At 45.3% G+C, this 27,376-nt stretch overlaps 1 protein-coding gene across 7 annotated transcripts in view, besides 5 other annotated features; it reads right to left on the bottom strand.

The window, feature by feature from the left end:
* EML1 (EMAP like 1) overlaps positions 1-27,376 on the bottom strand; it is a 204,339-nt gene that overhangs the window by 139,919 nt on the left and 37,044 nt on the right. For 4 of the 7 annotated variants that reach the window (NM_001008707.2, XM_005267397.2, NM_004434.3 and 1 more), the window contains exon 1: positions 8,599-8,729. The exons of the other annotated variants lie outside the window; for them this stretch is intronic. In NM_001008707.2, coding sequence (NP_001008707.1) covers positions 8,599-8,665 — 67 coding nt within the window. In that variant the 5' untranslated portion in view covers positions 8,666-8,729. Of the gene's footprint in view, positions 1-8,598; positions 8,730-27,376 lie in introns of those variants that run through there. 7 annotated transcript variants of the gene reach the window in all.
* Positions 7,977-8,808: an enhancer, noted in NCBI's record as "H3K27ac hESC enhancer chr14:100259671-100260502 (GRCh37/hg19 assembly coordinates)". NCBI's record gives its function as "activates a minimal SCP1, AML or CMV promoter by ChIP-STARR-seq in naive H9 embryonic stem cells {active_cell/tissue: H9 hESC(naive)}" and the evidence as "EXISTENCE:reporter gene assay evidence [ECO:0000049][PMID:30033119]".
* Positions 7,977-9,035: a biological region, named in NCBI's record as "H3K27ac hESC enhancer GRCh37_chr14:100259671-100260502".
* Positions 8,556-9,035: a silencer, noted in NCBI's record as "silent region_6070". NCBI's record gives its function as "represses an Ori minimal core promoter by ATAC-STARR-seq in GM12878 lymphoblastoid cells {active_cell/tissue: GM12878}" and the evidence as "EXISTENCE:reporter gene assay evidence [ECO:0000049][PMID:35858748]".
* Positions 12,372-12,511: an enhancer, noted in NCBI's record as "active region_9010". NCBI's record gives its function as "activates an Ori minimal core promoter by ATAC-STARR-seq in GM12878 lymphoblastoid cells {active_cell/tissue: GM12878}" and the evidence as "EXISTENCE:reporter gene assay evidence [ECO:0000049][PMID:35858748]".
* Positions 21,156-21,450: a silencer, noted in NCBI's record as "tiled region #11273; K562 Repressive non-DNase unmatched - State 22:ReprW". NCBI's record gives its function as "represses a minimal TATA promoter and a strong SV40 promoter by Sharpr-MPRA in K562 cells {active_cell/tissue: K562}" and the evidence as "EXISTENCE:reporter gene assay evidence [ECO:0000049][PMID:27701403]".

The raw sequence follows: 27,376 nt of genomic DNA, 5'->3' as shown, positions 1-27,376 counted from the left end.
TCCCCACTCCCACCTACCCGCCTGCAGTGAGCAGACTAGAAAGACGCTCTCACGGATGCCTCTCTTAGGAAGCCCGCCCTGATACATGCCCCCCAGTGCTGCAATACCCTACCATTGTTCCTTACACTTCTTAGAACAACCTATCACTGTTGTCATGAAGTGAGTGTGAAAATAACACTGGATGTTTAGCTCCTGAGAAACAAATTAGGCTTCCTAAGGCTAAGGACCATGTCATCCTCGCATTTCGCTGGAACCCCTAAAACAGTGTAATAATGGACGCTGTGAGTACTTGAGTGCTTGTTTAAAGGAACGGATGGAAGACTAGAGTTAGGAAGACTGCTTTAGGTCTGCTGCCAAAACCAAACCCAACCCTAGCCTAGATGAGAACTGATGAGGGCCCGAGCCAGGGAGGAAGGGATGGATGATGAGACGTTTGGGGTGCAGAATCCACTGAGCCAACTGAGATATGGGGCAGTGGGTAGAAGAGTCTAAAATGATTACTAGGAGAATTTCTTTTTTTTTTTTTTGAGACGGAGTCTCGCTCTGTGGCCCAGGCTGGAGTGCAGTGGCACGATCTTGGCTCACTGCAAGCTCTGCCTCCCGGGTTCACGCCATTCTCCTGCCTCAGCCTCCCGAGTAGCTGGGACTACAGGCGCCCGCCACCACGCCCGGCTAATTTTTGGTATTTTTAGTAGAGACGGGGTTTCACCGTGTTAGCCAGGATGGTCTCGATCTCCTGACCTCATGATCCGCCCACCTCGGCCTCCCAAAGTGCTGGGATTACAGGCATGAGCCACCGTGCCCGGCCAATTACTAGGAGAATCTAATGTTTACAGGGGAGACTACATTTTTGACATGTTTAATTGTCCTACGCCCACTGTAGGTATTCACTGGAAATCAGCCCGATTTGCCAAACGGACTCAAGTCTCTCCATGAATATTCGCCTAACCATTTCTATCCTTGTTATCTTTAACTGTGGGCTGCCCATTGTCCTTCAAAGGTTATTTGTGGGAAGAATCTGCAGTCCAGGACGGTGGGTCTCCCTTACAGGGGCTTTGCAGAGTGAAGGGTACCACCAGTCCTGGACCACACCATGATAAATGCATGGATCTGGCCGCTGGCCTCAGGGGGCCAGTCACCTCTGCTTCCCCTCCCTCTGACAGCAGGGCCTCGGCAGGTGGGAAGGTCTCCTGTAAGACTCCCTACCTCGGGCAGGCCCTGGGCTTGGAGTAAGTGCCCTCAGGCATCACCCAAGTCTATAGGTCGAACCTGCCCCTACACTGTGGGGATGGTTTATTAAAGATAGAGAGTTTAAATATTTTCCAGAAAGCTGGCAGAATAAATAAATGACTGCATTTTAACACACAACTGAGAGTACTCTGCAAAAAATGGTTTTCCCCGCCAACAGTATTTGCCAGTAAAGGTAGAACCTTAGAGTAAACAAAAATGGAAATGTATCTAACTAAACTGAATCTTAAAAATTAGCTGGGTGCAGGGGCTCATGCTTAATCTCAGCATTTTGAGAAGCCAAGGCAGGAGGATCTCTTGAGGAGAGTTCAAGACCAGCCTGAGCAACAAAGAAAGACTGCATCTCTAAAAAATTTTTTTAAAATTTAGCCAGGTGTGGTGGCGCATGCCTATAGTCCCAGCTACTCGGGAGGCTGAGGTGTGAGGATTGCTAGAGTCCAAGGGTTCGAGGTCAGTGAGCCATGATCACACCACTGCACTCCAACCTGGGCAACAGAGTGAGACCCTGACTCTAAATAAAAAATAAATAATTAATTAAACTTAAAAAAAAAACAAGTCCTTTAAAGAAAGAAAAACTCTTCTGAAGAGGTATTTCTTAAAAAGTAAACCAAAGAGAGTATGCACTTGCTCCTGCTGACACCTTCGCACACCCCCAGTCCTGGGCCAGATTAAAATGAATGTGCAGCCTTCAGCAGAAATGAAATCTATGTGCCAAACGTCTAGTGAGAAAAACATGAAGCTGGGGGTGACGGGTGGTATCAATAATAATTATACAGCTTTTAGAGTTTACAGCACACTTTTTGTTTGTAATTAGTAATGCTTCTGAAGGTGTTTAAAAATTTTGCTAATACTAGAAACCCTCTATTAATGAGCTTGATAAAATTTTAAGGATGAATAGTTGTTCCTGAAAGAAATTTTTGTAAGGAGTACAAAATGCCACTGATTTTAAGTCCTTGGAGAGACTGTCTTACTAGAGAGAGCAATGCTTTCATGTTCCGTTTTCAATGTTATCCATGATGAAGGTTTTCACGCTACTAGTTTTATAGCATGAACAAGCTGTAACACTAGAAACAAAGATGTTATTTCTCCTCTCTTATCCAACCTCCACTCAACTAAAATGTTTTTTAAGAGAATATGTGAAAAGGTTTACACTATCCCAGAAATGGACAATAACCAATTAATGGTTACTTTTTAAGCACAGTTTTGTGATTTTTTTCCACCAAAATGCGTGGGTTTGTTTATAATGTGATAAATGGTTGTGGTTTGGCTATAAGTTCCTTCCTGGCTGGAGCACCAAGTATACTAATTAGAAATTCTCGCTTAGCGTGGGTGCTTTTGCTTTGCACTTTTCCATGAAAGCGTTTTCCTCCGATTTTGCTATCACAGAATGCCTCAGTCAGTCTTCTGTCACTGCATGAGAATGCAAAAGAGGCCTGAAAATACTTCGGAGCGTTGAGTTTGGATAATTTCCTTACAGGTGTTCCTTTTAAATCCAACTACTTGTTTATAACCATCGAGGTGTCAACTTGAAAATCCTGCTGTAATCATAGTTAAGAGAATGTCATCAGTATTAGAGATGTCAAAAGATGTTTAAGATTATTAAATAAATTATTGTTAATTTCCAAAATATAAATGTTTAGAAATTAAAACAACATTCCATTGCAAAACTAGAAAAAATAAACTTCAGTCGCTCAAAGGATTATTATAGTGATTTCAAAATTTGACTGGGCAGGTCCCATGGACTCGACCCGCTGTAGTTACTAACAAGTAGCACCTGCAGGAGAAGAAGCCAGGCCAGATCTGGGACATGGCAGATACGCTCCAGTCAGGCCTTAGAGGGCATCTGATAATTCTCTCATGACACCTTCCAAGGCAAGAAGAAAAAAGGCTATTAACCACAATCACAACCCTGTAAGGCAATGGTCAATTTCAATGTTACTATAATGCTGAAATATCTTAGTAAGTGCTGGGATTATTTATAGCATTACAACACAGATTATAATGGTGTTGTAATCTGATAGGGCTCTGCCTGTTCGAGGAAACTTACCCTCAAAAAAAAAAGGTAATTAAATTTAAGAAAAGATTTAGCCATAGTACATGTAAAGTACACAAGAATTTTACTTGAAAATCAGTAAAAGGTAATAATGTGATGTGACAAGAAATGGAGTCTATATAACCTTAGGCTGCATTATTAGAAGTATAGGCCAGGTACAGTGGCTCATGCCTATAATCCTAGCACTTTGGGAGGCTGAGAAGGGTAGATCACCTGAGGTCATGACTTCGAGACCAGCCTGGCCAACATGGTGAAACCCCATTTCTACTAAAAATACAAAAATTAGCCAGGCTGGTGGCACACGCCTGTAATTCCAGCTACTCTGGAGGCTGAGGCAGGAGAACTGCTTGAACCTAGGGGGCGGAGGTTTTAGTGAGGCAAGATTGCACCACTGCACTCCAGCCTGGGCGACAGAGTGAGACTCTGTCTCGAAAAAAAAAAAAAAAAAGTATAGACTTTGGAATAAGGGAGGTGACATATCCAATTCTAATCTTCTTTGTGTAGAAAACATGCCTGGAATACCACATTCAGTTGTATCAAGTTAAGAAAGAAATACAGACAAAAGGAAACAGGTGTAGATGAAGCAACCAGGATGATTAAGGGTCTAAAATTACGTCTTAAGAGCTAGAAGATGTGAGAAAGAACTATAATCATTGTCTTCAAACATGTGATGACCTAATATATGGATAAGATATTAAACCTATTCTCTACGGACCCAAGGAACACAACTTCGGCTGATTTTTCACTGCTTGTAGGAACTGACAGTCTGAACTGTCTGGAGAAAAAATGGATTGCCTGGAGAGGTAGTTACTTTCCAGTCTCTTGAAAATGCTCATGCACAGGTTGAACAGCCTTTCTAGCTTTGAACAGCCTTTCCAGCTTCCCCCACAGGGCAGAGATTTCAAGCTGGAGGGGTGGGGGAAGGAGAGGAGGGCCAAAGCACCATCCTCTCCCCACTCCCTGTCAGCTATGCCAGCTCTGTATCTATCTGCTTTACCATTGGGTTCCTGGGTAACCTTTACTTTGAAGAAACAGCTCAAAGGCTTAAGAAAGTAAACCATGAGATGAGATTACTTGCCAGGTCCGTTCAGGCACTGAGATTCTTATAACCTGTGGCAACCACGTGCAGTTGTGCACTGACTCGTTTTGGTGAGCTGTGATTGATCAAAGGATCCAAAGGACTCATGGAAATGCATGAGCAACATTTTGTTACTTGCTCCCACTTCTTTCCCTCTTTCATCCATTTCCTTAATTACTTATTCTTTTATCAAAAATGTATAATAAAACAAGCTTAATATTTAGGTTTCAAAAAGTTAAGACTGGTTCCTAAAAATGTTAAGCCCAGAGTTACCATATGACCTAGCAATTCTGCTCCTAGATATCTGCCCAAGAGAAATGAAAACATAGGTCCACACAAAAATGTGCATGTGAGTGCCCATAGTAGCATTATTGATAAGAGTCAAAAAGTGGAAATAACCCAAATAACCCATCAACAAGTAACAGATTTAAACAGTGTGGTATCTCTCCACAAGGGAATATAATTTGGCCATAAAAAGGAATGGCATGATGACACAGGCTACAACATGGATGAACCTTAAAACATATGCTAAGTGAAAGAAGCCAGGAACAAAATACCAAACATTCTATAATTCCATTTAAATAAAATGCCCAGAATCTATAAAGACAGAAAGTAGATTAATGGTTGCCAGGGGTGAGGGCGATGGGGGAACATGGAGTGACTGCTAGTAGGTACTAGGGTTTCTTCTGGAGTAATGCAAAGGTTCTAAAATCAGAGAGTGGTAACAACTGGACAATTCTGTGAATATACTACACGCACTTAATGGTACACTTTAAAAACACATTTTTATGGTATGTAAATATTTCAATAAAGCTATTACTCTCTCACACACACACACACACACACACACACATACACACACAAAGATTTAGACTGGTATCCAAGCCCTTCCTAGTTCTGTGGCCTGATAAAGTTGCCAAATCTCTTCGAGCCTCCGTTTTCTCAGGCACAAAGGAAGGATGGTAACACCACCTACTTCAAAATGAGGCCTCGAAGAAAATATGGAGTTATTTCCCAAATCATAAATTGTCTTATAAAGGATAGCTACTGTTCACTTTTTAAAACACTTCAGGTTTTTTTTTTTTCCCAGCATTAAAAGAAGTTTGTGAGCTGGGCATGATAGCACGCACCTGTAGTCCCAGCTACTTGAGAGACTGAGGTAGGACTGCTTGAGCCCCAGGAGTTTGAGTCTGCAGTGAGCTGTGATCATGCCACTGCACTCCAACCTGGGTCACAGAGCAAGGTGTGGCTCAAAGAAAAAAAAAAAAAAAAGCTTGTGATTTCTAGCTCACTTTACAGATTTCAAATACTCTGAAGAAAACAATGCACACATTTTCTGCTTAAATGAGAAAGACAGTTCCTGAAAGATGAGGATGAGCCTTTTCAGGAGGCTAGATACTGCCTAACTTTGCATTTAATGTCCACTACAAATTATGAGGAGAGACACCAAGAAAGAAGTATAAGAGAAGACAGAAATTTCATTCATTAGAACAAACTTTTCTCTTTCTCCCTTCTCATTTACACATTATCTTCTCTCTCTCTCTCTCTCTCTCTCTCTCTCTCTCTCTCTCTCTCTGAGACAGGGTCTCACTTTGTCACCCAGGCTGTAGTACAGTGGCACAGTCATAGCTCACTGCAGCTTCAAACTTCTGGGCTCAATCAATCCTCCCATCTCAGCCTCCTGAGTAGCTAGGATTACAGGTTCAAGCCACCATGCCCAGCCAACTTTTAAAAATTTTTTGTAGAGGGGGGTCTTGCTATGTTGCCCAGGCTGCTCTCAAACTCTTGGCTGCAAGTAATCCTCCCGCCTCAACTTCGCATATCTTGATCTTGTCTTTATTTGACCAGAAGGAAATTAACTATGACAGTCATCCAAATAATATGTGTGAATTATATTTTCTAAAGCTGTAACCATGATTTTTTAGTTTCTGTCACTATTAACAGCATGACGCATACTGAACATATGAAAATGTATGAGTTCATGTATTATGCTGCTGTCTTGCCATTGTAATGTAAGTCTCTCATTTAAAAAGAAAAAATTGTTTGCCAATGTAGCTAATGAAATATCCAAATGTTTAATTTAGTTCCTAGTGAAATGGCATTTCTGTGATCCACTGCTTTAATTGAATCATCATAGTAATTAACTGACTTGTATTCATTTATATCTTCACTTAATGAAAGCCTCTTAAAATGTTTCACATCAAAACATCTGTTGCCTAAGACATCACCAGTTAACATTGACTTCTGCCCCATAGGCCACTCTTGCTTTAAACTTTATTCATTAGACAACCTAAAAAAAAAATAACAAATACAGAGCTGAGAACTTTTTGAGAAAAGTAATTCAATAGTTATAAAGTGATCTTATTGTTTGATTCTAGTTAAGGTGGTTTTTCTTTAAACCAATACTTCTACAAAATATAAGAGTTGGTTTTTACTTTCTTCTGGACATCACCACCAGTAAAATACCATGCCAATATCTCTAGGCTGGCAATTAAAAGGAAAATGCAGAAAACGAAAACATTCATGAACAGACGTGTAGGTCAACTTCATGACTAAACTGCTATTTAGGAACAGTATGACCAGGCCCCAAACAACTGCTCCAATAAAAATATCTAGGCTCATTTTCATATCGCAAATCAAGCTGTCAATAATACGCCCACAGATTAAATTTGTAAGACCTGATGCCTCAAAGTCATTTAATACAAATTTCAGCCACATATCTTTCCAACTAAGCATAGGGAGAATTCTACCATAAGCATATAACTACTTTTTAGATCAAAAACAATAATTCAAATATGATTGATTATAAGTCAATTAAGGAACCTATTCAAAATGTTAATTGAGGAATCTATTTAACCTACTGGAGAGCAAAACCGTTCCCATGACTCTATACTATAAAGTATTCCAGGGACCACCAGCATACCAAATACATTCTACCTGCCCTCAACACCTTCTGAGGCTCAAAAACACAGGTGTTCTGCTCTTGGAAACTGGCGTTAAATTCAGAGAAAAAGCAGAAACTTTCTTTAATTCCACTGAAGAGGGAATTACTAAATTCATGAAGGCCCACAAATGGTTCAGATGTAAAGTATAAGCTGCAAAAGCTATCAGAGTATACATTCTACCATGAACAAGATGATAAATTTCACCAGAGATAAAAAATACCACTACAGAGGATGAATCAACACACTCATTACTCTTTACTGCTACAGTGACAAACAGGTGTCGAATAACAAGAAAACTTTCCCTAAATCACAATACAATAGCAAAATAAATTGCTCCAGTTGTCAAAGGGTCTAGAATTCAAAATTATTCCGACTGCACTTAAGCAAATTCTATCAAATACACATTTTTTTTTCCCATTAACAAACTTTTGGGGCCCTTTGATGGAGCAATAAATCCAACATGTAAAAAAAAAAAAAAGTGTGGTTAACTTTTGTGCGTGAATTATCACACATCATGTTCTGATAAAATATTCAGTGTGCTATGAAAATCTTTTTCAACCCTGCCAATGAGACTGAAATCTTTCAAGCATGTAGGATTTCATATTTTTAAAAAGATGCCATATTGGTGGATATGAATGTTTCCTTCCTGTAAAATTGCAAAAACAAAAAAAGAAAAAAGAATCCATTATCCCATAAACAAAATAAGAAGCAACACTGAGGCCAGGTCCACTTTGGCTTTCCATTTAAAAAGCTCTAGATTGTATTAAATTGTGATGATTTCATTAAAGTAGACCTGAATGGGTTCTGGGGGTCCAAACACTGCGTGCATCCTCGCAGGAGGGTTTTGTTATTAAAGGATTTGTTTCCCGAGTTCTTCATCCAGTCATTTCCAAACAGATGTGGGTCGGGAAGCAAAAAAGCAACACGTTCCCCGGAACGCGGAGGCTGCCCGGGCCTCCCCGCCGCCCTGTGCCCCACGCGCCTCCGCCCGGGCGCGCTCCGCGGGTGCTGGAGCCGGCGGGGTCCGCGCGCCAGTGCCGGGAGCCGGGGTGGCGGCGGGGAGCCCGGGGCGGCCCGGAGCGAGGCGCGGCCCCGCGGCTCCAACACAATGCGCCGGCGGCGGGAACGGGGACCGCGCGCCCCTCCGCAACAACTTTGCGCGGCCTCGCCCGCGGCCGCCGGGCCTCGGCCCCTCGGCTTGGTCCCCGCCGTCGCCGTCGCCGCCGCCCGCCACCAGCCGCTCGCCGCCCCGGCCCCGCGCGGCCGCCCCTCACCGTTGCAGAACTGGAGCAGCGAGGACGTGTCGTACAGGCTGCTGTAGCTGGAGAAGCCGTCCTCCATGCTGAGGCCGCCGGGCCGCGCCCGCTCCCCGGCCCGGCCGCGCCGCCGCCGCTCACCACACACTGAGCTGAGCCCGACCGCGACCGGCGCTGGCGCTGGGGCCGGCCCTGCTGTGGCGGCTGCTGCTGCCGGTTACCATGGCAACCCCGGGCCCGCCGCCGCCGCCGCAGCCGCGCGAGCCCAGCGCCCGCTCCGCCCGCGAGGGGGCGGCCTCGGCGGCCGCGGGGCCCGGGCCGGGAGGGGGACGTGGCGGGGCGGGGCCGAGCCTCCCCGCGCCTGCGGCCTCTTTCCCCGCGGGGAGCGCGGCCCGGGCGGCCTGGGAGCCGCAGGGGCGCGTCTGCCGCCCGCTGTCCCCTTGGCCAGGCCCCGCCTCCGCGCACGGGGGCTCAGGGGCTGCGGGGCGCGGCGGGCGGCCCTTGCGGGGGCGCGGGGACAAAGACCAAGGCCGGGAGAGAGCGGGCGCGTGGGGCCCGGGGTAACCTCCGCCACGGACACCCAAGCCCACCCGCCCCCGACGCGCTGTTCCCGCGCCCGCGGGCAGCTCCACGACCAAACATGGACAACGCGCCCGCACATTTCGGCCGTTTCCACGCCGCGGCTCACTGTGGCCCACATCCGACCGGCGCGTTCCTCTGTCCACACGTTTTTCCGCGGCAGCAAGGCCCTGCCTCAGTGAGACTTAGCACGGGACTGGCAAGTCAGCTCGAACCTTCGCTCACACTGGGCCAGAGAGGCTATCCTGGTACCAGGCTGGAAGTCCCCCGTGTTGAGGACTCGACGCAGCTAAAACATCGCTTTGTGGTTTCTCTATGATCAGCCCCTGGGATACAGATCTGTCACGTTACAGGCTTGTTAACTTGCTACAGGACTAAGGAAATCAGTATTTATTCTACATCAGAAAGACACCAAGAGTTAGGAGAAAATAGCGCAGTCGGAGAAACACATAGATCTATGAGTTTGTAACTTTTCCAGGCCATACACGTATAAATGCTGTTAATGGTTCGCATTTTATACCCATGGAGTAAAGTAAGTAAAGATGCGCCAAATAACGAGTGGGAAGCAATAAATTAGAATATATAAAATGGATCATCTAACCCAAGAATGAGCTTGGTCCCAAAGAGACTGCAGAACGTTTACACTTCCTGTTGCATCAGTCATAATTCAGTTCCATGCCAAAATCTGAAATGGTAGGTACTAACTTGTGCAGGTTGAATAGAGTAGGTGAAATAAGAACTGAGTAAGTTAAAATTAGGAAAACTCGTAGGTCTCGCTTGGGCTCAGAGGCCTGTCCTTCCAGAAGCCCAGCTTGGACATCAGTAGATGGCAGGTGAGGGACAGGGCTCTGTCACTCTGCGTGCGGCACGGTTAGTGCATGGGTTAGTAAGGACTGGTGCTATATGCTGTGGGCAGAGGGAGAAGTTTAAGAGCTTATTCCTGTCCTAGCAGGATTGTTAATTGGGAAGATACATTGTGAGTGAAGGCTGAAGGGCCACAGGTGCTGCGGGTTTGACTGTGACTTGGTGGATGGAGGACAGTGGGCAGGACACTGCTAGTGAGGAAAGAAGGAACGGTGCCTGCAGACATTGTGCAGACAAGTGGGAAATAAGACTGGACTGAGGGCAAGGGGCCAGGTAAGAGAGGCCCCAAGAGCTGCAGAGGAGCCTGAACCAGACTTGGGGGGAGATGGAGGAACGCTTGGAGGGTTCACGCAGGCAGGCCACTGTTGAGAGCTGTGTTAGGGAGCTGGGTCTGCCTGCCGACTGGGCTGCAGGGGCCGCGGCCTGTTGCTGGAACAGCCCAGGATGTCTGCAGTGCTCCAGAAATGAGGCACCAAGGGCCGGCCAGAGGGAAGTTGCTATAGGACCATACAGCTGGAAAGACAGGAAGGTCAAGCGGGGACAGCACAACCTCCAATTAGAAGTGCCCTGTAGCAACTGGAGAGAAAGAATTGAGATTTGGGAGTTGTCAGCAAAGGGGTTGTAGATGAAGTCTCTAAAGAAGAGAATAGAAAATCGGACAGGGGCTGGGGTACAGCCTTGACAAAGGAGAGAGAAGGACATTCCGAAGGAATGGTCAGAGAGGCAGGAGAATCAGCAGAGGACATTGTCTCTCTAAGCTAAGAGCACAGAAAGCTTCCAGTGGGCATTTGCGTAGAGTTCTCTGCAGGAAGAGTCAAGGAGGATGAGGCTGGGGTGAGGCTCTTCTGTCTGGTGGCAGAGGGCTCCCAGGTGACCTGGAGCACCCTGGTGATGCAATAGGTTGCTGGATATCAAAGGGAGAGGGCAGGTACATGCACGTTAGAACACTTTGGCAGGGAGGCCGAGGGCGGGGCTTATGCCTGTAATTCTAGCATTTTGGGAGGCCGAGGTGGGCAGATTGCCTGAATTCAGGAGTTCAAGACCAGCCTGGGCAACATGGGAAACCCCGTCTCTACCAAAAAAAATACAAAAAATTAGCCAGACATGGTGGTGTGCACCTATAGTCCTAGCTATTTGGGAAGCTGAGGTGGGAGAATCACCTGAGCCCAGGAGGTAGAGGTTGCAGTGAGCCAAGATCACACCACTGCACTCCAGCCTAGATGACAGAGTAAGACCCTGTCACAAAAAAAAAGGAAAAGAAAAAAAGAAAACTTTGGCAGGGAAAGGAAATGGGGGGAGGGGCCAAAGTTGGCAGAGGGCCAGGTAAAGTGTCCTCTTGCGCCCGCCTGGCACAGGTGGGTTCTCTGCCTCTCTAAGGCAGCAGGCAGGTGCTATGGAGAAGCGGCTTTCAAAGGGTGAGACTTAACACCCAGATGCACATTTCATCTTCCTCATTTCCCATCTGTCTATTCCAGTGTTCATGCTCTCTCTATTCCACTTTGCAGTTTTATACTTCAGGATATGTTGGATGATTGGCATAAAAAGCTGAGGTGTGGTATTTCTGAACTTGAAAAGGAAGTAATAATCATGAATAATTAGAAGATGGTTTTCTTTAAAGCCGGGTGTGGTGGTGTGTGCCTGTAGTCCTAGTTATTTGGGAGGCTGAGGTGCGAGGACGACTTGGGCCCAGGAGGTTGAGGCTGCAGTGAGCTATGATTGCACCACTGCATTCCATACAGTGCAGCTGGGGCAATGCTCAACTCCAGCCTGGGCAACAGAGTGAGACCCGATCTTAAAAAGAAAAAAAGAATGTTAGCATTCCTTATGTTTAATGTTATGATATTTGGTGGCCACAATTTAGACATGGGAAAGGAGACATATATTTAAAACTTCAGCTGCCAAATTGAGCTGGAGATTTTCTTAGAAGATATTATTTCCACTAAAGTTACAAATAAGACAATTAAGAACTCAGTCCACTTTCTTTTGAGATGATAAAGAAGATCATTGCTCTCTTAACCTAGAGTATTAAACAGCTATGTTTTTCCCACAGTGGTAAAATCTTACTCTAAAAAAAAGCTAAATTTAGAATAATTACAATGATATGCATGTTAAGTCACTTAGGTATAATCTACACAGCATTAAAAAAGATCTTTGGGGAAAGTTCAAGAAAAATCTCTGAAAATTAATAATGTGTGATGTTTTTGCTAAACATTTTAACAGACTGATATTCCACGCCATTGTGAGTTAATTTATATCCTGAGCACCAAAAATGTTGTCATTGTAATAAATGATGTGTACTCTGTAGGACAATATAACCACAGTGTTCAGTGGAATTAATAGCAGCATTTGTACAACGTGTGAAAAAGAGAAAGGAAAGTGAAAGCTCTGTAGCCTTTATTCATAGAAAGGCAATTTTTAAAAATCACCCAGAAATGTGCAGCCTTGTGCATCTATTGTTTAATCCAACACTCTACCAAAAATAGTTACACAGTGCCAGGCCCTATGCTTGGGGCTGGGAATGTAGCACATAGAACACAGTGCTTTCCGAACTGCAGGTAGCCGTGAAGTCAATTAAAGAGTCATCATTGGCAAGGTTTAAAATGAAATAGAGGCCAGGCATGGTGGCTTACGCCTGTAATCCCAGCACTTTGGGAAGCCGAGGTGGGTGGATCACCTGAGGTCAGGAGTTCGAAACCAGCCTGGCCAACATGGTGAAACCCCATCTCTACTAAAAATACAAAAATTAGCTGGGCGTAGAGGTGAGCACTTGTAGTCCCAGCTACTCAGGAGGCTGAGGCATGAGAGTCACTTGAACCCAGGAGGTGGAGGTTGCAATGAGCCGAGATCGTGCCACTGCACTCTATCCTGGACAATGGAGCAAGATGCTGTCTCAAAAAAAATAAATAAATGAATAAAAAGAAAGAAAGAAATAGAAAATTCCACTTCTGGGTACTCAAAATTGTTGAAAGCAGGGACTTGGACAGATATTCATACACCCATGTTCATAGCAGCATTATTCACAATAGCCGAGGGGTGGGAGCAACCTGAGTATCTACCGATGGATGAATGGTTAAACAAAATGTGGTCCATCCATAGGGTGGAATCTTATTTCATCCTAAAAAGGAAGGGAATTCTGATACATGCTATCAGCATGTATCAAGACATTATGCAGCGTGAAATAAACCAGTCCCCAAAAGCGCAAATAGTCTATGACTCCACTTACACGAAGTGCCTAGGGTTGTCAAATTCATAGAGACAGAGAGTGGAATGGTGGTTGCCAAGGGCTGGGGAGAGGAAGGAATAGTAAGTGAGTGCTTAATGGGCGCAAAGTTTCCCTTTGGAATGATGAGAAAGTTCTGCAGATGAATGGTGGTGTGGGTAGCAGAACAATGTGAATCTCCTCATGCTTTATAACTGGGCACTTAAAGATGGTTACAATGGTAACTTTTATGTCGTGTGTGTACACATACACACACACACACACACATATTAGGGAGATATTTTACAGTCTCCATGTGTTGCCCAGGTTGGAGTGCAGTGGCTATTCACAAGTGCAATCAGAGCACACTAGAGCCTCCAACTCCTGGGCTCAAACGATCCTCCCTCCTCAGCCTCCCAAGCAGCTGAAACTACAGACACACACCACCATGCCTGGCTGTTGTGTATATTCTAACACAGTTTTTAACATGAAATGGAATAGACAATTTTGGACTGCACTGAGCATAGTAAGAACGAGTATTTGTGCTGGAAACATTGGTATTTACTTACAATGTACCTACATGTGCTGAGTTGCGATGTATAATACAAGGCATTTCTTGTTGTGGGTCACGGTCACAATCTAAGAGACATTTGGACATATAATAATTGTACAGATAGTTGTATAAATACAAATGATAAGCGCCAAGGAACAAAGCTAGGTGGAAGGATTTCAGATTATTTCTGAGGGTCTGGACTGGAATAAGGAGGAAAAGAAGCTACCAGAACAGCCGTGGGTAGAGCAAGGGGCAGCCACATCAGGCAAGCTAGGGTAGGAGATGGGGAGGCCCTGCTTGCAGCGGGCCTTGGACAGCCTGTCAGGGGCTTCTGATTTTACTCTAAGAGCAGAGAAAAGTTGACCTTCAGTTAATGTCATGGGCTTAACTGTGTCCCTGCAAAAATTCATCTGTTGAAGTCCTAATGCCCAGGACCTCAGAATGTGACCTTACTTGAAGATGGGGCCTTTACAGATGTAATCAAGTTAAAATGAGGGCATTAGGCTGGGCCCGAATCCAATATGACTGGTGTCCTTATAAGAAGGGGAAATTTGGACACAGATGCACACAGAGGGAAGATAAAGTGAAGACACAGGGAGGAGATGGCCACCTGCAAGCCAAGGAGAGGGGCCACAGAAGGATCCAGCCCTGCCCACACCTGGGTTTTGGACTTCTGACCTCCAGAACTATGAGAAAATTAATTCCTGTTGTTTCAGGCCTCCAGTTGGTGGCACATTCTTAAGGGAGTCCGAGCAGATCAATACAGTTAGTATAGAATCTCAGAGTCAATCTGGGTGTGGTGGCTCACGCCTGGAATACCAGCACTTTGGGAGGCCAAGCCAGGCAGATCACCTGAGGTCAGGGGTTCGAGACCAGCCTGGCCAACATGGTGAAACCTCATCTCTACTAAAAATACAAAAATTAGACAGGCATGGTGGCAGGTGGATATAATCCCAGTTACTAGGGAGGCTGAGGCAGGAGAATCGCTTGAACTGGGGAGGCAGAGGTTGCAGTGAGCCGAGCCAAGATCGTGCCCACCGCAATCCAGCCTGGACAACAAGAGTGAGACTCTGTCTCAAAAAAAAAAAAAAAAAAAAAGAATCTCAGAGTCAAGAATTGACTATTCCACAGATGCAGCACCATTCACTACTCATATTAAAATATAAAATATAGCTTCTCATGATAAAATTGTTACTCTACAAAATAAGAGGTAATCACTGAGTCTAACAACCATAAGGGAACATTCAACTCTGCGGCCTCCAACCCACTTGCTGATGCAGCTGTCCCTTCTACAACATCCCTGACAAATGGTCACTCTGCCCCTTTCAGATCTGAAGCACTCCAATTATTAAAAAGATTGTTGTTTATTTTTATCCTAAATTGCCCTTGCCAAAGCATTCTTCACCAATCCTACTTTTGTCTGGTCAATTTCATCTCCCTCTGTCCTGGTTCTGGCTTCTGTCTCCTCTGGAACATTGCAACAGTAGCCTGTGTCCTGGTTTACCCAGCCCTGCTTCATTACTCCAGGGTTAACTTACCCAAAGAGGTGCTAACTGATGTCCTTTCATTCTCTGCTGCCTACCATATTAAGTGCAAACATCTTGGCACGAACTTCAAGTCAGTCTGCACTCCTGCTGCAAATGCCATCTTTGGCATTCAACACACCCCTGCCCCACTGTGCTATCCGAAAGCTCCTCTTCGCGACTCTCAGACGTGCCGTGCACTTGAAGGCTTTGAACTTTGGCCAGTGCTGTGCCCTAGTCCTCAGTGTCCGCCTCCCCTGCCCGCCAGGGTAGGAGCTGCCCCATCAACAGGGCCTCTGCAGTCATGAGCACATCTGCCCTTGTGCCAGTCTGCTTTGCCTTGTGGGAACTTGTGTACAAGTCTGTCTCTCCTGGGAGATGATATACCCCTAATGCCCATCATGCTTGACACAAGGTTGAACGTAGTTGGCAGTGAGTAAATGCTGAGTGAATGAATGAACTCTGGACAAAAGTGGTTGCCCATTACACATGATAGGTTTTCAAATGCCTGGAAGAGAACACACATCTTCTCCAGGGTAACATTCTCCATTTCCTCCCTGCCCATCATGTGACATTGTTGCTAGACCCCTTGTCTGGAGAGATGTCCATTCCACCCAACCAGATCCTTTTATCCTGAATCCTGAAGATTCAGGTACTCAGAACTGCATACAGTAACCTCAGAGCACTTTCACCTGGGTGGCATCTCCCTTTAGTAACCTGAATATTATGATTCTATTGATGCAACTGAAGCGTGTGTTGATTTTTTTTTTTTTTTTTTTTTTGAGCAGCCAGGGTGTGGACTGTAGGCTCCATGTTGAACTTCCGTGAACTAGCCGTGAATGTGCCATAATGCACCCTTCAATGTCTCCTTCGTCCTTGTAATTGATCATCAGGTTAGCGCTGCGGGAGGGGTGCAGAGTCCTCTGTATGGCACTGGATGCCTCCCCAGCCACATCTCTATTGATGTGTTTCTCAGTGCTTTGGAAATACCTGCCTAACTAAAAATGAAATCACCCCAACCGTTCGTTCACCCAGCCTATTTTCTTCTTCATTGTCCACAGGATTTTGTGAAGGAGCCTCTCCGTTGCTTTGTAAATTCGGTCTGGTAACACAGAAAAACAGGGAACGAGGTTGGTTTGGCTCTTAGGCGCCACTTTTCCTTCCAAGTGTTTACATGCTAGCTCTTCAAAGATCTGTGAAAATTTTTGCTCAGAACCGATATTAATATCAAACGTATCATCTGTATTTTCCAGAATCCAACTTTTTCTGCTTTTTGGAAACTTATGACCTTTTATCCCTTCCCAGTTTTCTGCGACTCCCATCTGGCAAAATTAGAGCTGGCTTACTGAGGCCTGGAGAATGTATTCACAGTAACTGAACAGTCTCTTGCCATCTCTTGCCTTTCTTAGGCTCTTGGCAATTTCTCCCCAGGGATGTTTCTTCTATCCCTTCCAGTGTTAAGATTATTCTCCTTATTAGAGAAAAAGGAGGCTGGGCGCGGTGGCTAACGCCTGTAATCCCAACACTTTGGGAGGCCAAGGCAGGTGGATCACCTGAGGTCAGGAGTTCGAGACCAGCCTGGCCAACATGGTGAAACCCCATCTCTACTAAAAATACAAAAAATAGCCAGTCATGGTGGCGTGTGTCTGTAATCCCAGCTACTGGGGAGACTGAGGCAGGAGAATTGCTTGAACCTGGGAGGTGGAGGTTGCAGTGAGCCGAGATCATGCCATTGCACTCCAGACGGGGCAACAAGAGTGAAACTCCATTTGAAAAAAAAGAAAAGAAAAAGAAAAAAAAAAGAAGCCTACATAGCGAAGTCCTAACCATGCAGACTGGCTTTCAGGGTCCTTCATGGCTCCTCTAGTTCTTCCAGTTCTTTGGCCCCTGTCAATCCCTCTGCTTTTCCATTTCCCAAACACCCCACAATAGTCTGCCCCTGGGGCTTTGGTTGTGAGATTCCTGCTGTTGGAAATGTCTTTCCACTCAGTCTGTGAGCTCCTTGGCCATGCCCCTGGCTGGGAGCCTCACACAGGGATGCAGTTCTACAGCTTATCTTATGAAGGTGAGACCTTGTCAGCCTGGTGAAGCCAGCTCCTTGTTTTCCCGTGTGTCATCCGGCCTGGATGGGCTGGAATGGGGGAGAGGCACTGGCCGAGAAACAACACTGTGTGATAAAGACGGCCTTATCAAGGGCCTCTCCAGCTTCATTATCCTATTACACAATGTCAACACTGCAGAATCATGAACTTCAGACCCTTCCACAGATAATCTGTTGATAGTCCAAATGGATATGACAACTCTATTATCTAAGAAACCCAGTAGGCTATTTACCCAAAAGTATTCCTAATGATTGGACTCCATCAAAAGAATTTACATATTTTGAAGTATCTGAAGTGGGAAATTAAAAGCAATATTTGCTTGGCTAATTCTTTTTAAAATGTCCTTGCAGGCCAGGCACAGTGGCTTACACCTGTTATCCCAGCACTTGAGGAGGCCAAGGTGGGCAGATCCCTTGAGTCCAGGAGTTTGAGACCAGCCTGGGCAACATGGTGAAACCTTGTTTCTATACAAAACACAAAAATTAGCCAAGCGTGGTAGCATGTGCCTGTGGTCCCAGCTACTCAGGGGACTGAAAGGTGGGAAGATTGCTTGAGCCTGGGTGGTCAAGGCTACAGTGAGCCGTGATCGTGCCACTGCACTCCAGCCTGGGCGACAGAGCAAGATCCTATCTCAAAAAAAAAAAGAAGACAAGAAAAAGTCCTTACATTTAGGAAACTTGATGTTGTGATTGTCTCTAATTCATGCAATAGTGCGGGCACCGCAGTAGATTGCAAATGAATTTCCAACCGTAGCATCTCCACCAATCAACAGGATTTCCAGGGCATTTTGTTCATTCACTCCATCGCGTTGCCTGTAAGGTTTTATGGCCGTTCCTGGCATGCCACAGACTAACCACAGAGCAAATAAGCTAATATTAGGGCAACCACTCATCCCAGAAGGCCTGGGACAGCCAGGTTTAGGCCTTTGTCCTGGGTGCTCATTAATAGTACCCCTTTGGGGCCAGACGTGGTGGCTCACGCCTATAATCCCAGCACTTTGGGAGGCCGAGGAGGGCAGATCACGAGGTCAGGAGATCGAGACCATCCTGGCCAATGTGGTGAAACCCCTTCTTTACTAAAAATGCAAAAATTAGCCGGGCATGGAGGCCCACACCTGTTGTCCCAGCTACTCAGGAGGCTGAGGCAGGAGAATTGCTTGAACCCAGGAGGTGGAGGTTGCAGTGAGCTGAGATCACACCACTGCACTCCAGCCTGGGTGACAGAGCAAGACTCTGTCTCAAAAAAAAAAAAAAAAAGTACCCCTTTAACTCTGGAAAGTATTCTAGTTTGGATGATAAATTGTATGGCCATCCTAGTTAATAAAGAAAGAACCAACCCAAATGTCCATCAATGATAGACTGGATTAAGAAAATGTGGCACATATACACCATGGAATACTATGCAGCCATAAAAAATGATGAGTTCATGTCCTTTGTAGGGACATGGATGAAGCTGGAAACCATCATTCTCAGCAAACTATTGCAAGGACAAAAAACCAGACACCGCATGTTCTCTCTCATAGGTGGGAATTGAACAATGAGAACACTTGGACACAGGAAGGGGAACATCACACACCAGGGCCTGTTGTGGGTGGGGGGAGGGGGGAGGGATAGCATTAGGAGCTATACCTAATGTAAATGATGAGTTAATGAATGCAGCACACCAACATGGCACATGTATACATATGTAATAAACCTTCATGTTGTGCACATGTACCCTAGAACTTAAAGTATAATAAAAATATATATATATATAAACGATTTAGAGTCTTTCCATAGTGTGCATTGAAAGAAGATTGTCTAGATTGATACAGGTTATGCTTCAAATGCTATCATAAGCTGCCTTACAATATCGAAGTTACAAGAAATAAAAAGAAATGGCCAGAAACCTGGATTTGTATCAGGAAAGTCCAGGAAAAGTCTCACTACTGAGGCTTGCCTACTCCCCTCCCATCATCTCCTTCACAGGCTTTTCCATCCTGGTGTTCTAGAGATGCTGTACTTCTTCCTAATTAATGGGGGGTCCGGTAACTCTTGCTCATATTTTTGCCATGGTCCCAGGACTCCAGCTATACCAGAGAGTAGGGCAAAGGTCCTCAGCATCCTTCTGGAAGTCAACTCAATAAGAAGTTGCTCCCCTATCTCCCTCACAGGCTTGGTCACCGGTTCTTCATCACAGACAATTGCTGAGAACTGACCCTGGGCTCACACATTTCGCCACACTGAGTGCCCTGTTGTGCCAGGAACAGGAGACACAATGGGGAACAATGCACCATCCCACACCCGAGGGTCTCACAGCTCAGAGGGGAGCAAACACGCCGCAGGTCACACTCACACAGGCCCCCAGTCACCATCAGGCGCTGGCTCCAGTCTCTGCTGCAAGCCTAGCTGGTACTGCCTGCACCTTGCATGTAAGGAAACTCCCTAGGACCAGAGGCTCAGGGGCCTGGCCTGAGGTCACAACGTTGGTAAATGGTAGAGCTGGGATTTAAACCCAGTCCTGTCAGGCCCAAACCCTCACTTTTCTACTTTGAGCAGCCACCTCTTCAATGGAAGATGGAATAAGAGAGAGGTGGTGGGGGTGGAGGGGTTGGGGAAGGAAGGAGAGGGGAAAGGGCAGATTCTACCCAAGCATGCAAGCTGACACCCTGGCTGGGGACAGGTAGGATAACAGTGCCCTACGATAGGGTGGGGCTGCGGGCCTCCTGCTGTAGGTGCAGACCCGGGTTTAGCCGTGCTTGCCCTGCAAGGCATATTTGGAAAGTATTTGTTGCTTGGGTTTGGGACCGACAGACACATGGGGATTAGTGAAACCCCAGGGTCTGAGGCGGACTGAGGAGTCCAGAAGTCAAAAGCGGGGGAGCATACCTCCAGCCTCAAGGAGTCTGGGAGATGAGAGGTATGGAGAGGAGGCGGGAAAGAGGCTAGAAATGCATACTCAGTATGTCTGGAAACTGATGAGACATCCAGCTCTGTTAATGTCAAAGAGGGGACAGGGAGCTCAGACTGAAGGCATCTGGCCCCATTGCAGTGAACCTGGGACCCCATACTAACAGGCTGGGCTTAGTCTATGGGCAATGGGAGCCCCTTGGAAGCCACAGAATTAGGACTGTGCTTCAGGAAGACTGATGGGAAGTGCACATACCTGGGCCAGGGGACACGAAGCATGAAGACAAACTAGTGGGACCTGTTCCAGGTGAGGTGGTGTGAGCCTGGGTTGGGCTGGCAGCCATCCTCCCAGCTGTGGGGTGGGGAACTGGCCCGCCAGACCACACTGCGGATGCAGAAGAAGCCAAGAGAGGATCTGGGGTCTAGAGGGCAGGAGTGGTGGGGTGTAGGAATCAGGAAGTGAGTGCAGGGGGAGGGCATGGCCTTGGCAGTGAGGATGCCATACAGCATGGGAGGCACACCCCATGAGCAAGGGCAGGGCCTTAGGGCTAGAGCTGGCCAGGAAACAGGTGGTGGGGGAGGAGAAAGGCACCGGGAAACCCACCTGAGGGGGCGGTGTCAGGAGGGGAAGAGCCAAGCACACTTGATGGGAGGAGGAAAGAATTAGAGGAAAGAATTAGAAGCTGGGGACGAGTCAAGGAGAAGGGAGGCGGCCAGTGGAACAGGGGTCCAGAGGACTGAGCTGGACCCAACCAGTATTCTGGGGGCAGGGGCGCGTGTCCTTGGAAAGAAGGAGAGATGCTTCATCACCCGGGAGAGGAAGGTTAAAGGATGAGGTGGATGAAATGCCATAGGAAATGTGAGGCTTCAACCATTGATTCAACAAACACAGGTGTTGCTTAACGATGGGATACGTTCTAAGAACTATGCTGTTAGGCAATTTCATCATTGTGCGAGCATCGTAGAGTGCACTTACATAAGCCCAGATGGTACAGCCCACTACACACTTAGGCTACATGGTACAGCCCATTGCTCCTAGGCTGCAAACCTGCATGACAGGCTACTGTACTGAATATCGTAGGCAACTATTATACAATGGTAAGTATTTGTGAACGTAAACATCTCTAAACAGAGAAAAGGTATATTAAAAATACAGTGTCATAACCTTATGGGACCATCATCATACGTGCAGTCCATCCCTGACCCACTCATCATGATGCGGCACGTGATGCTTATGATGGCACTTGTTGGCAACATAAACATCCTTGTTGGCAGGAAGCTCTATCAGCATCTTTCCAGGGAAAGTATTGAGTTTGCCTCCATGTTCTGCTAAAACTCCTGAGGACAGAGAGGATGGAAGAAAAACAACCTCCATACAACTTCAAACTGGAAAATAGGAAAAGGGGAGGTACAGTCTCATCTGCCCCAGACAAGCTGAACTCAAAGCTAGCAAGGGTGGGCAGCCAACCAGCAACCTACTTCCCCACAGAGAACCCCCAAAGGCTTAGGAATGGGCAGGACCAGGTACCTGTCACAGTGGGGGCAAAAGAGGGTCTGCTTAAGAAACTGCTGTGGACTGAACTGTGCTCCCTTCCAAACTCATACACTGAAAACCCAACCCCCAATGTGACTGTATTTAGAGATGGGTCCTTTAGGAAGTAATTAAGGTTAAATGAGGTCTTAAGGGTGAGGCCCTGATCTGTTAGGATTAGTGACCTTATAAAAAGGGAGAGAGAGAGATATATCTCTTACTTTCTCTCTGCCATGTGAGGACACAGCAAGAAGGTGGCAGTCTGCAAGCCAGGAAGAGAGCCCTCACCAGGAACCAACCATGCTGGCACTCTGACTAGACTTCAAGCCTCCAGAATAGTGAGGAATAAATTTCTGTTGTTTGAGTCACCCAGTGTATGGTATTTTGCTATGGCAGCCCAAGGTGACTAAGACAGAAGCAGATAGATTCCTCCCCCGTCTCCTTCCTCTCACTGTGAAGATTGGAGTTTCAATCTGTTAAATAGGTGAACCAAGGGGTTCTCTACACAAAGGCATACCAGAGGGGAGGGGAAGCATCCTGAAGATGGCAAATAAATGATAGCCTGATGCTGAATGATCAGACCTCACCCCAGCCCCTTCCTACCCTCAGCTCTCAGAACATTGGCAGCCAGGGGTCTGCTGTCCAGGCAAAAGTGTGGAAGGACCTTTTTTAGGGAATATGACGAAGTCTTGTGGAAAGACCTAGAGGTTGGGCAGGTTGGGAAATAAAGTGAAGTTCGCCTGTTGACAAGTGTCATCTGTAGTCTCAGGACTTGCAGGTACTGTTTGAATGTCCCCCCTCTAAGACTTGAATGGAGAGCCAAGAATCTGAACATTTGAGAACATATAAAAGTAACAAAAAAAGGTAGAGTGAGGGGATATGAGGAAACAGACAACACAGACAGCAGAAGGAAATAAAACTATTATTTATATCCTCATAGGTCAAAGTTATTGCATCCACAAAATAAGAATGCTATTTATAAAATTAGATGATAAAACATCTTTGAAAATTAAAAATATGGCCGTAGAAATACAATCCCCACAGCAATGTCTACTGATAGAGTTGAAGAAATCTCCCAGAAAAATAGAACAAAAAAGACAAAGCTACACAGAATATAGGAGGAAAAAAATGGGATATCATATTGGGAAGTTCAGCATCTGAATAACAAGTTTCAGGAAGAGAAAATGAAGAAAATAGAGGAAGGGAAATCATCAAAGAAATAATTCAAGAAAAGTTTCCAAAACAAAGAAACATGACACATGAATTTCTAGATTGAAAGAGCCTACTGAGTGCCCAGCACATTGGAGGAAAAACAAAACAAAACACCACCACCAAATGTTATTTATACCCACCAAATGTTACGTCCATCAGCTGTTATATGCACCAGATGTTTTAGAACACTGGGGATAGGAAAACATTCAAAAAGCTTCTAGAGAGAAACAACAGTCTCAGACAAAGAATTAAGAATTAGAATGGCATTGGATTTCTAAACAGTAATGATAGGAGCTAGAAAACAACAGATAAATGCAAAGAATACATTTTTGAGGGAAAAAATTATTTTAACCTGTAATTAAAGACCCAGACACACCATCAAATCATGTGTGCAAGTGGAATAAAGACATTTCTAGTCACACAAGATCTCAAAAACTTAGCTCTTCTGTGCCTCCTTTCTCAGGAAGCTACTGCAGGATGTGCTTCACCAAAACGAGGGAGTTGCCAAGAAAGATTACATGGGATTCAGAAAACAAGGAATCAACACAGGAGAGAAATAAAAGGAATCTGCAGGAAGTGGATGGACAGTAACAATCATGCTAACAGGCAACCAGTCCAGACTACAGTGGGATAACAGAGGCTCCGGAGAAATGCCACCAAGAAGCTGAAATTAGAAGCTGTCAGAAAAAGATTTACATATAAGGCAGAATAGTTGGGGATGACTTAGTGAATGATACATGGAAAATAGAAGACAGTAATTTACTACAGGAAAAACAAAAAATTGTCTAAGAAAGGAAATTCAATCATACAATATGGCTTAACTTTGAGTAGTGTTTGATAGTCATAGTAATATAAACACACAGGCCAAATTTTAAAATTCTGACATGACTATATTAGGAAGAGGAAGGGTATGTATCCACATGTGAGTATGGAGTAAGCAATGTGAGTGAGAACTAAATCTTCATCTTCCTGGCAGGACATTAACAGATTAAAAAATGCCTGGCCCAGACCTTTTCAAATTGGTGCCTTGCAAATTGGTGACTCATGCCTGTAATCCCAACACTTCACGAAGCTGAGGCAGTTGAGTCCAGGAGTTCGAGACCAGCCTTGGCAACATAGTGAGCCCCTGTCTCTATAAAATAAAATAAAATGGCAAAAATTAGCCAGGCATGGTGGTGTGTGCCTGTAGTCTCAGCTGCTCAGGAGGCTGAAGGGAGAGGATCACTTGAGCCACAGGAGGTTGAGACTGCAGTAAGCCTAACCTGGGCAACAGAGCATGAACCTGTTTCAAAACAAAAAAACAAAACAAAACAAACTGCCCCACAAAAATGCTTGGACTTGGACAGTCAGGAAGTAGCAGTATATGCATGTTATTTCAAGAAAGGTAAAGGCAGCGGGCGTGGTGGCTCACGCTTCTAATCCCAGCACTTTTGGAGGCTGAGGCGGGCGGATTGCTTGAGGTCAGGAGTTTGAGACAAGCCTGGCCAACGTGGTGAAACCCCGTCTCTACTAAAAATACAAAAATCAGCTGGGCTTGGTGGCAGGTGGCTGTAATCCCAGCTACTGGGGAGGCTGAGGCAGGAGAATCACTTGAACCTGGGATGCAGAGGTTGCAGTGAGCCAGGATCATGCCACTGCACTGCAGCCTGGGCGACAGCGCAAGACTCCTCTCAAACAAACAAACAAAAAGAAACAAAAAAAGAAAGAAAGGTAAAGACATACCAAAAGGCAAGGGTAACATATTTGGAAGTGGTAACTGCTTCCGGGAGGTAGGAAGAACGCTAGGGATGGCGTGGGAAATGAGGGGAGGGAACTGCAACTTCTTTGTCTTAAGCCTTGTAGAACTGCTTGATTTTTTTTTTTAAGTACGTGCAGTCTGTAACTGATAAATTTAAATTAAGCTTAAAATCATGTACATTTTAATCTTTCTTCTTGAGCTCCCATTTATTTATTTGTTCTCAGTTTGTTCATTGATTCATTCAGTCTACAAACATTTGCTGTGAGTCTTCTTCTGTGGGTTGGCTGCTGGGACAGCTGAAGAGGAAATCTCAATTCCTGCTCAGAGAGGACCTTTCCTTTTAATAAGAAAAACTTCAAGGAGGTTAAAGCTGTATGTGCCTTTTACTTTATTTTGCGTGGTAGCTGATTTTCTGAAGAACTCTCAATTCTACATTTGAAATCAGTTGAGGTCTTGGGACAACAGTGGTTGAAGCTCATGATTTAAAGTTTTCCTATGATAAATCCATCAGGAAAAAAATCCTGCACAATATATGAATATGTAATCTATGTCTTCTTATACTGGCCACTCTGTTGAGAAATCGACGTGGCTGTAGGAAAGGTAGCTGAAGAACAAACTTTCAGGAAACATATCACCATTTGAGAAGAGGGGAATTCACTTACGGCCAATATTACTCGTGATGACAAATTAGAATTCACTTATGTAGCATATACTGAGCTGTGCCCCTTAATTACATTATTTTGTGCACTTTTACTGACGTCCTGTAGTAAAAGCTAGTTATATCCAATAAACCTGATAGTAAAATGTTCGGCTGTACATCATAGGGATTCTGCACTAATTAATTTCACAGGTTTTGTTTTTTTTTTTTTGAGATGGAGTCTCGCTCTGTCACCCAGGCTAGAGTGCAGTGGTGCGATCTCAGCTCACTGCAACCTCTACCTCCCAGGTTCAAGCGATTCTCCCACCTCAGTCTCCCAAGTAGCTGGGATTGCTGGTGCCCACCACCACACCCTGCTAATTGTTTGTATTTTTAGTTGAGACGGGGTTTCACCATATTGGCCAGGCTGGTCTCGAGCTCCCGACCCCTCAGGTGATCCACCTGATTTGGCCTCCCCAAGTTCTGGGATTACAGGCATGAGCCACCGCACCTGGTCAATTTCACAGGTTTTTATATTTCCTCCATTTATAACAAACATAATTGCTTCCTTTCAGCTTCATCTGTAAGGGCTCTGAGGAGAATCTCTTCTATATATTTAATCTAGGAATGGCTGTGTTACCTGCTAAGATTTCATTTTTGCTTGTAGGACATTTTGTTGCACCATTTGAAAGCAGCAGGAAAATATTCTTAAAAGACAGCCATAGTTTTGAAAAATCATGTTTTAGCTGGAAGAATATAAACATAAACTGTATCATGAAATTGTGCTGTAAAATTCCTCTCAAATATTATTTTCGTGTCAAAACTATTAATGTTCTTATAATGGGTCCTGGATGAATCTACAAAATGTTTTATTCAAGGTCCTTGAAATGACCTTGAATTGCTATCCCAATACTGCCATTACACAAAGGAGCGGAGAGGCTAATAAGTTATATGCATATCTTAGGCACGCCTTTCAAATTGGTGCAAAAATCATGTGAAGTAAAATACATACCACAGTCATGAAAACGTAGCTTCCACATGGCGGCTGGGCCACTCACTAAAACGCAACTCCAATGCAATCACTCTCCAGATCAAAAGCCCCTGGGCTCCCTGCTGCCCGTCATGAAGAGTAAACCCAGCCCATGGGCCTGCCATCATGGTGCCAGATCAACCTTGCTGGCGTGGGATCTGTCACGTCCATCCATGCCTCAGCCTACTTGCCTGTGAAGTGAAGCACTTGCTGTACTCTGGGTCTGCCTCACTCTTTCCATCTCACATCTTGACTGTCCCTTCCCACTGCTCCACATTTCCCCAGCCACCACGTCTCAAGTTCATCTCAAATGCCACTGTTCCGGGAGCCGGCTCTTCCCTCCCTGTCATATGCCCTTTCTCCCTCCTCTGAATGCCTCAGTGCCTAGTACCTGTCCAGGTCTGTGACAGTCCTCTGTGGCCTTGCCTAGTTCACCCACTGAGCTCTGCACTCCCTGAGAACAGAGATCGGATCCCTCCTGGATGCTCTGTAATTAGGAAACAGATTTGACTTGAAGACATAGGCTCATGCCTATTTCAAGGCTCCTGTAACTTTTCAAGAAGGCTGTGATGCTGTGATGCTCTGCCTCTGTGTCCTGGGCAGTGCGCCAGCAAACCGCATTCCTAATTACATAACAGTATTCAAATGCATGTCAGTATGAAAAGAGGAATCAACTCTATTTTGTATTTTTTTTTAAACAGAAAAGCTTTTTTTCTGATCACTGGACTACTTTCCATTTTAAGCTAATTAGTAAATTGCATTTTTGGCTCTTTAACTGGCTAGGTTAAATTTAGCTCATCTTTTCCCTTAAAGTCAAGCTGTCAGTGGGTTTTGCAATTAAAATTTCCACTCTCAACTTTCATTCTCATTCAAGAGGATGCTGGCAAGCCACCCCCTCCTTCTGCCCTTCCTTCCTTCAGCTTCTCCCCTACTCAAGGCT

Source organism: Homo sapiens, chromosome 14 (assembly GCF_000001405.40).
Source record: "Homo sapiens chromosome 14, GRCh38.p14 Primary Assembly".
NCBI classification, from domain to species: Eukaryota; Metazoa; Chordata; class Mammalia; order Primates; family Hominidae; genus Homo; species Homo sapiens.
Note: the sequence above shows the minus strand (reverse complement) of the source record. Positions and strands in the feature narration are given on the sequence as shown.